The 12,655-nt window shown below is 51.1% G+C and overlaps 1 protein-coding gene and 1 long non-coding RNA gene across 6 annotated transcripts in view; one reads left to right on the top strand and one right to left on the bottom strand.

Annotated features, from left to right (window-relative positions):
- Positions 1-12,526, top strand: part of LOC101929314 (uncharacterized) — a 12,911-nt gene extending 385 nt beyond the window's left edge. Inside the window, exons 2-4 of one of the 5 annotated variants that reach the window (XR_007061810.1) lie at positions 883-960; positions 12,146-12,290; positions 12,449-12,526. This is a non-coding gene — a long non-coding RNA (uncharacterized LOC101929314). Of the gene's footprint in view, positions 1-882; positions 961-7,491; positions 9,317-12,145 lie in introns of those variants that run through there. The other 4 variants (XR_007061809.1, XR_930382.4, XR_930381.4 and 1 more) reach the window with 4 other exon arrangements.
- NUP188 (nucleoporin 188) overlaps positions 1-12,655 on the bottom strand; it is a 59,398-nt gene that overhangs the window by 917 nt on the left and 45,826 nt on the right. Inside the window, exons 27-42 of the mRNA NM_015354.3 lie at positions 12,486-12,655; positions 11,738-11,807; positions 11,257-11,324; positions 10,666-10,861; positions 7,952-8,029; positions 7,557-7,642; positions 6,863-7,008; positions 6,375-6,556; positions 4,451-4,651; positions 4,204-4,296; positions 3,205-3,363; positions 2,726-2,863; positions 959-1,033; positions 650-877; positions 404-535; positions 57-130 (exon numbers count right to left, since the gene is read on the bottom strand). Coding sequence (NP_056169.1) covers positions 57-130; positions 404-535; positions 650-877; positions 959-1,033; positions 2,726-2,863; positions 3,205-3,363; positions 4,204-4,296; positions 4,451-4,651; positions 6,375-6,556; positions 6,863-7,008; positions 7,557-7,642; positions 7,952-8,029; positions 10,666-10,861; positions 11,257-11,324; positions 11,738-11,807; positions 12,486-12,655 — 2,096 coding nt within the window. The remainder of the gene's footprint in view (positions 1-56; positions 131-403; positions 536-649; positions 878-958; positions 1,034-2,725; positions 2,864-3,204; positions 3,364-4,203; positions 4,297-4,450; positions 4,652-6,374; positions 6,557-6,862; positions 7,009-7,556; positions 7,643-7,951; positions 8,030-10,665; positions 10,862-11,256; positions 11,325-11,737; positions 11,808-12,485) is intronic.

The raw sequence follows: 12,655 nt of genomic DNA, 5'->3' as shown, positions 1-12,655 counted from the left end.
AACAGTGGGCCCATGACTGCCCCAGCCCCTTATCAAATCCCAGAAAGAGCACTTACTTTAACGTCCTGGTCCCTTCTGCCTGTGTGCTGAGCCCCACTGCCTGGGTGAGGGGCTCCTTTTTCTTGTCCAGCTGAAGAGAAGCAAGGGTAAAAAACTAAGACAACAGGAACAGCTCCCACTTACTGAGAGCTTCCTACTTGCATGTCCTGCACTAAGCAAATTTAATCAGTTACCTCATTTAATCCTCACAGTAATTCTCAGAGGTGCTGTCATGTTCAGTTTACAGAGAGGAGCAGGCTTGGGAGGCTAGGTACCATGCCCAACATGCCCAAGGTCAGCTGGGAAGTGGCAGGCAGGGGGAGGAGCCGGGGGGAGAGGACAGTGTCTGACAGAACCAACTTACCTCTCCAAGCATGTTGAGGGCCACATTCACTGTGGCCAGAAGGGTCCCGAAGGAGGGGGCCACTTCGGAGTCAAAGGTGGGAGTGGTAAAGCTCAGGGCAAACAGGAAGTTGTATTCAGCAAGGTCCAGGGACTGCGAGAAAAGACAAGAGCCATCCAGGACCCAATTAAGGCCCCAGGTAGCTCTCGGTACACAGCAGAGCAGAGCCTTTAGGGGAGGTGGTGCTGAACAGATGATGGGCAGTACCTGATCCAGCAGAATCTGGCAGACATCTGGGGTGAAGTGGCGCAGGGCTGCCAGCGTCTTGCTGAGGATCTTGAGAAGGCCATACTGGACTGTGTGCAAGGCCTGCTGCTCTGATGCCTCTGTGTCAGCAGCGGGCTGCTTTGAGGAGGAGGGGGCAGCAGAAGCAGCAGACGGTGGCCTCTGGACTCGCTGGGCAACAGCTGAGGGGAGGCCATCCCCATTTTTGTTCTAAGGAGAGTCAAGAAATGAAGGTGGAGCTTGGGAAGCTAGCGTGAGGTATTCCAGGACCTCATGGCATAGGACGCTTACCTGTAAGTAATGCTGCAGCATCTTTCGACTGTGCAGGAGAGAGGTACATGCCTGGCACAAGTAACCCAGGTTGACCTGGGAGAGACACAGGAGAGATGAGCGGATTCTCTTGTCAGCAGCCCAGTCACCCAACCAGACCAACCCAATAGCCCTCCATGTAACACCCATGCGCTCCTCACTCGCTGCTGCTCTTCTCTCCCTCCTTCCCTCATGCTCCCCTTCTCTCCCTCCTTCCCTCATGCTCCCCTTCTCTCCCTCCTTCCCTCATGCTCCCCTGGCCACTTTCCAGCTTAAAGCCCCTATAGCCACTAAGTACTCAGGGCTACAAACTTGGGCCAGCAGGGCTCAGGACTGGACTGTCTCCCTGAGACCCAGCTAGGTGCCTGGTATATTGTAAGGTCCTAAAGTAAAGAAGATGAGGCCGGGTGCGGTGGCTCATGCCTGTAATCCCAGCACTTTTGAGGTCGAGGCAGGCGCATCACGAGGTCAGCAGATCGAGACCATCCTGGCTAACACGGTGAAACCCTGTCTCTACTAAAAATACAAAAAATTAGCCGGGCGTGGTGGCGGGCGCCTGTAGTCCCAGCTACTCGGGAGGCTGAGGCAGGAGAATGGCGTGAACCCGGGAGGCGGAGCTTGCAGTGAGCCGAGATGGCACCACTGCACTCCAGCCTGGGCGACAGAGCAAAACTCTGTCTCAAAATAAATAAATAAATAAAATAAGATGAGGATTATGGCTGATTCCATTTTATAGGAAAAGAATAAAAGGTTACAAGTAACAAGTGACTTGGCCAAGGTCATACAACCAGCAGATAAGAGAAGCCTGCCTGGCTCTGGAGCCTGTGTTCCTTCCTCACCCCTCCCTTCTCCAGCTGGTTCCCAGCTCCAGTTGTGTGTGTTTTTTTGGTTTTGTTTAGTTTAGTTTTTTTTTTTTTTTTTTGAGACGGAGTCTCACTTTGTCACCAGGCTGGAGTGCAGTGGCGTGACCTCGGCTCACTGCAACCTCCACCTCCTGAGTTCAAGCGATTCTCCTGCCTCAGCCTCCCGATCCTGAGTAGCTGGGACTACAGGCGTGTGCCACCACACCCAGCTAATTTTTGTTATTTTTAGTAGAGATGGGGTTTCACCATGTTGGCCAGCCTGGTCTCGAGCTCCTGACCTCATGATCCTCCCGCCTTGAATTCCCAAAGTGCTGGGATTACAGGCGTGAGCCTATTGCACCCGGCCATTTTTTTTTTTTTTTCTTTTTGGGACGGAGTCTCGCTCTGTCACCCAGGCTGGAGTGTAATGGTTCGATCCTAGCTCACTGCAACCTCCGCCTCCCAGGTTCAAGCGATTCTCCCAACTCAGCCTCCCGAGTAGCTGGGATTACAGTCACGTGCCACCACGCCCAGCTAATTTTTGTATTTTTAGTAGAGACAGGGTTTCACCATGTTGGCCAGGCTGATCTCGAACTCCTGACTGCCTCCCAAAGTGCTAGGATTACAGGCGTGAGCCACCATGCCCGGCCCCAAGTGTATTCTTAAGGGATCTGAACCAAGATCTAACTGATAAAAGTCCAAATTCTTAACCTACATGGCTGCCCTTGACTATGGAAGGAAACATTTAGCCAGAGTAAGCACATGACAGCAAACCCTGTGCTCCCCAAGGGAAAAGCCCCCGTTCAGGAACATCCTGCAATTCACTAGGAGTGCCCCAGTGAGACCTCACAGCCTCCCTGTCTCCAAGCATTACCCCAGACTCCAAGACACCATCTTGGGCCCCCACCTGGATATCACGCATGAGCTGAGGCAGGTGGAAGTGCCACTCCTTCATGAAGTTAGAGAGCTGCAGAATAAAACCCACGGTGTGGTCCGCCTCCTCCAGGCAGGCCAGACTCTGCACTGTCCTCACTGCGTTGAGGCACTGGGAGGAAAGCACACATCAGGGAAAGATGGGGATGGCTGAGGGACCTGACATACCCACACCTACCCTCCTGTGGAGAGGCAACGTCCCAGGCCCCCAAATGCTGAGTTGGCAAAGAAATGGCTTAGTGGTACAACCAGGATTCTGACCCGAGACCGTTCCCGTCCTTCAGCAGACTAGCTGGCCAGTGAGCCAGCAGAGTACTTAGAGCATCTCAAAAATGAAGGCATCGACAACCCTCCGCTACTGAGGCCCAGGCTCCACACCCACCTGCCCCATGAATGGCCCAGTACCTTTTTTACCCTGAAACTCCCACCCCTGCAATGCAGGCAGCCCCTCACCTGTAAGGTCCGCTCCTGGTGGACACCCACGAAGTCCAGGGCCTCAGGCAGGAAGTTGTAGCGCAGAGTTTTGAGCAGCTGCTCCATCAGGGACATGGACAGGCGGTAGACTCCTGGCCAAGAGGGGGCATCCAGGGACTTCCGAGAGGCACTAGGTGTCTAAGATACAAACAGCAGACAAGCTCAGGAACCCTGCTGAGAGGCAGGACCTCCTTGTAGTACAGCAACTAAGGCAGCCCAGCTGCGCTGAAAGGAAAAGATCTCCCAGAATAGACACAGCCACTGTCTGGCCACCAGGGCCAGAAAGGGGCCAACACCAGCAGATTCAAGGAAAGAGCACCAGGCTGAGACACAAGACCCAGGGTTCCAGACTCAGGTCTGCCACTGACGAGCTATGCGAACCTGGACATGTCACTGCCCTGCTCTGGCCCCTACATACTTCCTCTAAGGGGTAGCTGGGCTAGATGACCAAATACTTCACGACTCTCATGAGAGAGAGAGGTTCAGGTGAAGACTACTCTTTTGAAATTAGGAGGTATCTGTTAAACTAGAAATAACCAAGGGACACAGAGGGCAGGGTGCTGAGGCCCCATCAAGCCCCCAGACCACCCACTTCCCTTCTCCCAGTCCTGGTCTGGTGGTGCAGGGGTGGAGAAGTCACAATGACACACTGTCTTTGGGAATGACAGGAGAGGACAGCTGCCTTGGCTAGAGGCCTGGTCCAGGGATGTGTTATCAATCTGGTTTAGTCTTCCTCACACCTGCAATGGGAAGAATCCATCCCATCTCCCAGAGGTAGTGCACAAAGGCCAGGCGGTGCCTTTTAGTGGTGAGTTTCTCTTGCTAGAGATCCGCCTGGGGGCAGGGAAGATTCCTCACCATCAGTGTATTAGGCAATTTAGAGGAAAGCAACTTCCGGGGAAAGGTAGGGGAGGACACTTTTCAACTGGAACTGTAGGGTGGTCAGGCTGGGCCTCCTGGCAAGCTCCTGACACTCACCTGTGCTGTGCCGTTGGTGCTCAGCTGGTACACACTCAGAAGGGGCAAACAAATGCTCTGGGTGATGCCAGCTCCAGCCACTGCTGTGGCTCCCTGGGAGGAGGGAAAGACAGGAAATGAGATGGAGCCTGCCCCTGCCCTGCCTAGGGTAGGTAGGGCTCTCAGGCTAGATCACAGCTTCTGGGATTGTCAGAACCCACCCAGGCAAGCAAGGACGCTCCCTCCTGCCTTCGGGCTGGCCTCCTACCTGCTGAGTGCGAGCCAGGGTGAGGAGCAGATGCAATGTGGCCTCAGTGAAATGCAGGTTCTGCTTCATGCGAAGGCTCACCTCTAGAGTGGTGAGGAGGGTGGGTAGGATGGGGAGCCTGCGGGTTACCTGCAGCCAGGAGTCACCATCCTCGTCTACCTCACACAGCTCCTTGGCCAGGTGCAGGCCCAGGACACACACCTGCCCAGAGGCAAAGATGAGTAAAAGGGGGAAGAAGAAGAGGAGGAGGAAGAGGACGACAGGCAGCGGTGGGCCTGGTTGCCCAAGACCTGCTTGGTTACACACATTGCTAAGTGAGCTTGAGTAACACAGAATGCACACTCTCTCCCACCCTGCCCCTCTCCTATGTCCAGCTCTCAATGAACAGCAGCAACTCCAGCCAATCTAATGAGCAACCCTAAACTGACCAGAGCTACCCCCGCCTCTTCCCTCCCACCTCCCACACTGCCACCACCCTTGTCAGAGCCACCTCGTCTCATGTTGGACACTCCAACCAACTCTGCCACATGGAGTCTGAGGGACCCCTACGACCCTGCCCGATGCCACCTCCTGCTCTGCTACTGCAACCATCTCCTAAATAATCCTGCTCCATCCTCTCTAATCTATCCTTGTACCAGTGGCCTTTCAACCTTCTTTTTGGCCATGACCCAGAGTCATAAAGACATTTTTTTTGAGATGGAGCCTCGCTCTGTCCCCCAGGCTGGAGTGCAGCGGCGCGATCTCGGCTCACTGCAACCTCCGCTCCTGGGTTCACGCCATCCTCCTGCCTCAGCCTCCCGAGTAGCTGGGACTACAGGTGCCCGCCACCACGCCCGGCTAATTTTTTGTATTTTTCATAGAGACAGGGTTTCACCGTGTTAGCCAGGATGGTCTCCATCTCCTGACCTCATGATCTGCCCGCCTCGGCCTCCCAAAGTGCTGGGATTACAGGCGTTAGCCACCGTGCCCGGCCCATAAAGACTTTTTAGACTGTATCCTCATGTACACGTTTACAGTTTTTCACTAATAATACCTACCCTAATGTCACACAAAGCACAGTGATATTTTCTTAAACACTTTATTCTACTTTATTTTAAAAAAATGCTGGTTGTGGCCAGGCGTGGTGGCTCACGCCTGTAATCCCAGCACTTTGGGAGATCAAGGCGGGCGGATTACGAGGTCAGGAGATCGAGGCCATCCTGGCTAACACAGTGAAACCCCGTCTCTATGAAAAATACAAAAAGTTAGCCGGGCGTGGTGGCAGACACCTGTAGCCCCAGCTACTCGGGTGGCTGAGGTGGGAGAATGGCGTGAATCTGGGAAGCAGAGCTTGCAGTGAGCCAAGATCGCACCACTGCACTCCACCCTGGGCGACAGAGCGAGACTGGTTGTAACAAAATGTGCTAATTTCAAGACTCTCTCTAATAGGTCATGATCCCACAATTTGAAAAATACTATTCAATACTGCATCCAGAGTGATCTTTCTTGGGCACGCCTGTAATCCCAACACTTTGGAAGGCTGAACTGGGAGGATGGCTTGAGGCCTGGAGTTTAAGTCCAGAGTGATCTTTCTAGAGTAAAAATCAGATCAACTTTTTCCCCTGCTTAAAAGCCTTACATCATTTCCTATTTCACTTCGGATCCTGCATTTGCCCGCGGCTACAATCTCTAAGTCATTGCTGAAAAGGCACCTAAGTCCCAGTTCAAGTCAGAAGTGAGACTAAGTTCTCCCTGCACTTCTCTCCTGCAGTACAATGGGCTGCTTCTGCTTTTCTGCAGTGTCTGATCTATTAACCTTTCCCACCAGGCCGTGAACTCCAGAAGTGCAGCGACTATCTGTCTTGATCACTACTTATCCCCAGAGTCAGGCACAGAGCTGGCGGGCAGTGGAAAGGACGGATGGCCTTCTAGGGCACTGTCTCACCCCATCACGCTGGTCCCTGTGCCGGGACCGAGAACAGTCGTCAGTCTCCATGCTGTCCTTGTCCTCTGTGGCACTGCCTAATGCCAGACTGTGGCGGGTCTGGTCGAAGAGTGCAATCACTTCCTCTTGGAGGGTCTCACAGACATTCAGCACCAGCTGGGAGTACTGGGGGATGTCACTTACTGTAGAATAGACAGGGAGGGACACTGTCATGCTCACCAGGCCAACTCTCACTGTACACCAAGGTTTCCTTCCTAGGAAGGGGCTGGAGATGTACTAGGGCGCTAGGAGGGACAGCATCTGTCCAGTGGGAGAGGAGGGAGAGACACATGAGGGAAAAAAATAGCTTTCTTGGGGTAAGAATTCCATGACTGGAAACTCAAAAGTCCCAGAAGAAATGTGTGGCCCTAAGCTGAAGGAAGCCCTGCCTGGCTGTCAGCAGGAGTGGGCAGACTGCAGCTGCTGCTCCCCCTGCCTCTGCCCCTCACCTTTCATCTCCTTCATTTGCAACACTGTGATGAATGCTGAGAACACCTTGGCCTTGGTCTTCTCCATGAGTTGCTGGTCGGCCTGCAGCACTCCCTCCAGGATCTCCGTCAAGGGTCCAAGGATTTCATCCACAGAACCTAACTCTCTAGAAAGAATACTGGGTGGGCCAGGCGTGGTGGCTCATGCCTGTAATCCTAGCACTTTGGGAGGCCAAGGCGGGTGGATCACCTGAGGTCAGGAGTTCGAGACCAGCCTGGCCAACATGGTGAAACCCTGTCTCTACTAAAAATACAAAAATTAGGCATGGTAGCGCGCACCCGTAATCCCAGCTACTAGGGAGGTTGAGGCACGAGAATCACTTGAACCTGGGAGGTGGAGGTTGCAGTGAGCCGAGATCGCGCCACTGCACTCCAGCCTGGGCGACAGAGTGAGACTCCGTCTCAAAAAAAAAAAAAAAAAAGAATACGGGGTGGGGAGTGAGACAAAATACCTCATAAAAGGCCACACACTGCCCCTGCTCCATCTCAGGATATCCACCAGTCTGCCTCACCCTCCTATCTGCTATGTCACTCCCATTCCTCAAGATGGAAAACCAGCCCAGCTTCCACCCACTATTTCTCCCTTTCAGGAAGGCAAGCAGGCACTGACAAGAAGGCTCTGGCCTCGGGCTTGCCTCTCCTGGCACAGCCTCACCTCTTCCACTGCCGGAGGAGGATAAGCAGCAGAGTGCACTTCATGGAGCCAAGGCGAAGGCAGTTCACTGAGGCTGGAACTAGGAGCTGAAAGGAGACAGCACACCAGTCAGAAGTCAGTGGAAAGATTCGCATGCCATCCACAGGGCACCTCCGGCCTCATTGCCTTTCTTCCCCAGCAGTGAGCTCACAGGAGTGGAGTGGAGGGGGAGAAGCCAGGGTTGGCATGGCAGCAGCAGAGCTCTGCTGACCCACTACAGTCTCAGGCCTCCCAGGCCAACGTGAGCCCTGTGACCTGACTATTTGTGCGGCTGGCTGGCAGACTCATGACCTCTGCTATTTGACTTCAAAGACAACCTCCCTGGGAGAAATGTAAAATCTCCCAGACACACTTACTAATGCTTTGGTTCCATCAAGCACGTCAAGAAAGAGCTGGCGACGCACCACAGAGTCAGTCAGGTGCATTATATCTGCCTGCAAAGGAACAGAAAAAGGTTTCAGCTGGGAAAATTTTCCAGATTTTAGAGGCCAAGAAACATGGGGTCCTCTGCTAGGCAATTAGTCATTGGTAAAACAGTCTCCCTGATTTAAAATAGGGCTTATATAGGCCGGGCGTGGTGGCTCATGCCTGTAATCCTAACACTTTGGGAGGCTGAGGTGGGCGGATCACGAGGTCAGGAGATCAAGACCATCCTGGCCAACACGGTGGAACCCTGTCTCTACTAAAAATACAAAAATTAGCCAGGCATGGTGGCGCGCACCTGTAGTCCCAGCTACTCGGGAGGCTGAGGCAGGAGAATTGCTTGAACCCAGGAAGCGGAGGCTGCAGTGAGCCGAGATCGCACCACTGCACTCCAGCCTGGCGACAGAGAGAGACTCCGTCTTAAATAAATAAATAAAATAAAATAGGGCTTATAGTCTGGGCAACATGATGAGACCCTATCTCAACAACAACAAAAAATGTTTAATTAGCTGGGTATGGTGGTGCATGCCTGTAGTCCTAGTTACTTGGGAGGCTGAGGTGGGAAGATCACGTGAGCCCTGGAGGTTGAGGCTGCAGTGAGCCATGATTGCACCACTGCACTCCAACCTGATCAACATAGTGAGATCCTGTTCCCTAAAAAATAAAGTAAAATAGGGCTTGAAGGCCCTGCTGTTCTTCTGTCAACCCTTAGATATGGTCAGAATCAAGCCCAGGTTCACCTCCTCTTTGAGACTCTGTCCTCCCTCTGCTTAGAATCCTTGAAAGGCTTCCCAGTGCCCGGGAAACGCAAACCAAGCTCTTCAACATGGTCCAAAGACCCCACAGGATCTGGTCCAACTGATGTAGTATCAGTCCCATCTGTGCTCACTCTAGTCCAACCCTGCTTGCCTCTTTCATGAACATATCAAGCTCTTTTCCACTGCTGGAACTTTGCACTTGCAAGTCCATCTGCCTAGACTTCTCTCCTCCACGGGCTCCACCTGGAAGGCTTCTTCACACATTCAGCTCTCAGCTGGGACATCACCACTCAGAGAAGGCCACCCTGACTACTTCTATCTCATGTGTTCATTACCACAGCACTTTAATTATTTCCTTCACAGCAAATTATCACTATCTGAAACCATATTTTTTATTGCTAAATTTGTTTATAATTTACCTCCTCCATCATAGGGCACTCTCTATGCGATCAAAGATCTTATCTGCCTTATTCACTGCTGCATCTCAATGCCTGGAAGCGTTCCACTAATGCCATTAAGAGAATGAATGGGTGACCAACATCCTGGACTTAGGTTTCTTTCTCTTTTTTTTTCTTTTCTTTTGTATAGGTAGACAGGTGAGACAGAGAGCCAGATAGGTTTCCTTTGGGGAAAGAGGATGGTGGGATTTTCAGAGCTACAATTCAAGAACTGCTGCCTAACTAGGGCCTAAAAGGCAGGTGACATAAAGGTTATACCCTGGGGAATCAACCATTCTCAAAGACAGGTGAGCCTTTAAGTGTGTTTGGAGCCTTAGGGGTCCAAAACCACCATGCCACAGCAAGAGTAGCCACAAACCTGCCCCTCCTAGGCTCAAAGCTCCAAGCATGTGGGCAGTCTGGCACTAGGCAACAAATTTCACAGATGTAGGAGGTGCTTGGAAAAAGGAGGCATCTATCAAGCTGAAGTTGTTCATGAAGTCAAAAGATTAATCTGGGCCAAGCGTGGTGGCTCACACCTGTAATCCCAGCACTTTGGGAGGCCGAGGTGGGTGGATCACCTGAGGTCAGGAGTTCGAGACCAGCCTGACCAACAAGGTGAAACCCCATCTCTACGAAAAATACAAAAATTAGCTGGGCGTGGTGGCAGGCACCTATAATCCCAGCTACCTGGGAGGCTGAGACAGGAGAATTCCTTGAACCCGGAAGGCGGAGGTTGCAGTAAGCCAAGATCGCACCACTGCATTCCAGCCTGGGTGACGGAGCAAGACTCCGTCTCAAGAAAAAAAAAAAAAAATTAATCTGGATACCCCAAGAAAGAACACTTCAATACCAAGTCCTTATGATACAGCGTGACGGAGTCAAACCACAAAAAAGCCAAGAACAATGCATTTCTTCCAGATGTTATCTCTCTCTCTCAAAACCAACTCCCAGTAGACAGAGTACAGAGACAATGGCCTCTGTTCTTTTTCTAAGACCAGGAAATGCAGTTTCTAGAACCAATGACAAACTGCTTTTTAGAGAGGGTGCTGCTGCAGCTGTCACAGCTCCCTGCTGACTAGTCAACAAGTATTTATTGACCTAGCATCTACAAGGTACACAGCACGAGAAGACAGTTATGCCTTTGCACAAGAGGCAGATGCAGCCAGGGAGCAGCTAAGACCCAGCCAAGGCCTAAGGGAGGTACAGGAGGCTTTAGGAACTCTGAAAGGATTTCAAATCACTTCTCTGCATTCCTCTTAATGGTCTCCTGGACCCAACACCCTCAAATACCCCACAGTCCCAATCTCTCAGCATAGAACCTATTACAGTTTAGCTCTCAGGGATAAACCCTGATTAATTCTTCCGCACAAGGAGCTGTATCTGCTAGGCTCATGTCAACACATCATTGCTAAGGTACCAAAGTGAAAACTCTCCCCAAAAGGGTCTTACATGAGTGGTGGCAATGATGAGAAGCATCCTCCAGGCGGACACCAGCATCTGGTACTCTAACAAGGAGGTGCAGCTGCTGCCTTCTGTTTCGGCCACGTGAACTGCCAATGACTTGACATACCCTGACCAGTAGGCAAAGCGTTTCTCGATGGAAAATTTCTTCAGTGTATCCTTTAATGACTGGTCTAATGAACCCCTACAGTGTCAAGAAAAAACCTCCAGTTAGATTTTGAAAGCAGATGGGAATATAATGGGTACAGACCCTTGTTGAGGCAGAGAAAACGACCTTGCATGGGCTTAAAGGCAGACGGCTCCAGGACACCTCCAACGTGTGGGTTAGGCTGAGGCCTTTCCAGGATTCCTCCTCCATAAAATCCCAGTTGCATGGAGTTTGCTTCACAATAACTCTTTCTGACAATCATAAATGCCATCGGTGGATTGGCCAGGAACACAGCTCACTGGCCTTCCATGAATGGTTCCAAACCAGTTCTCTCCTCTGCCTTGGCTCTTCCAGCCATGCACCCAGTGGTAGGCCACCAACTCCCACTCCCCCAACCTTCAGTTAAAATCTCAAGAGGGGAAAGTACTCACTTTACTACATAGTATATCTCCAAGCAAATTATCTTCATGATTAGGGCACAGGTTTCCAGGATGCTGGGCTGTGGAGATAGCAGAACAGGCAATTATCACATCTCTGATCACTGATCTCCCCCAGTATATCAAACAGGGAACAGAGCAGGGGCCCAACACTTGCAGAACAAGTTAGCACAACCCCTGTTGAATGTGAATGTCCTGACTTGCAAGAGCAGAGGCGTCAGGTCCACAACGTCTCCAACTGAATGGAGAAGACCACAGAGCCACCAACACACAGTAGCGCAAACCACTTTCCTTCCCAAAGCAAGACATCAAAGGGACAGAAAGCTGGCACTTCCCTGAGAAAGACGTTTCTAGTGAAGGGAACATTCTGTTGTTTAATTAGGGGAGGTATCATTGTCTACGGCCCCATCTCACAGCCCACAGCCTTTCCTCCAAGGGACTTGTAGCCACCATCCTGCCCTCTGCCACAGCTTACCTCTGATGTTTCAGAGGGAGGAGAAAGGGTTCCAAACAGCGGACTGGTTAAATTTTCCCAAAACTTGGGTCTAAAAAGGAAATAAATGTTTGAAATCATAACTTTTTCCCTCTCACAGTCATTTTCTCCTCTCTCAAGCTCCCTTTGGTGGTCACTTCATATTTTACCAGTCTCAATCCTAATATGTGTCTGATAAGTCAGTTGTTCCCGTATAAATGAAAGGTTTCCATAGATAAAATTACATTTTCCTCTCATGAATCACACTTATGCATTATAGAGTTGATCAATAAAAACTCTTCAAGATTCCTTCCACTGTAGATTCCCAAAAGCCCCACAGAAGAGGAGGGAGGGAAATAAGACAGCAGACTCCCAAATTTAGCCTTTTAACACTCCTTCCCTTTGTGCCAGCAGGTCCAATAGAACGGAATGTTTCATTCAATCCAGTGACTTGAGCAAGCGCCTCTCTCCTGAATCTACTGTTTCTCAAGAATAATGAGTTTTGATGCAGCTAGTTAGCAAAAGGCAGGAACACAAAAGCAACTGAACCTTCCAGGTGCTTAATATTTAAAGATCCTTAATACTTGCAGCAGCATTAGAAAGAGAATTAGTGTAAAACTCCCAGGTATTGAACCAGGACTAAGCACTCTTATTCCCAGTGAACTGTCACAACAAACCTCTGGGATAAGAGCTATTATTACTCCCATTTTATAGACCAGAACAATGAAACTACTCCCAGAGGCAGACTTACTTGGTTCGGAGGACCAGCATGGCACTGTCCCTCCGATCCTGCCACAGAGCATGCAAAAAGGCAATGGCGGCACGATGCAGCAGGGGTGGGCACCAGTATCGATCTTGCTGTTGGGAATCAATCAGCTCCAGCACTGCATGGAGACAGCTCCACATCCCAAGGCTGAATTC

This window comes from Homo sapiens, chromosome 9 (genome assembly GCF_000001405.40).
Source record: "Homo sapiens chromosome 9, GRCh38.p14 Primary Assembly".
In the NCBI taxonomy this organism is placed as follows: domain Eukaryota; kingdom Metazoa; phylum Chordata; class Mammalia; order Primates; family Hominidae; genus Homo; species Homo sapiens.
This window is presented reverse-complemented; position numbering and strand designations above follow the sequence as displayed.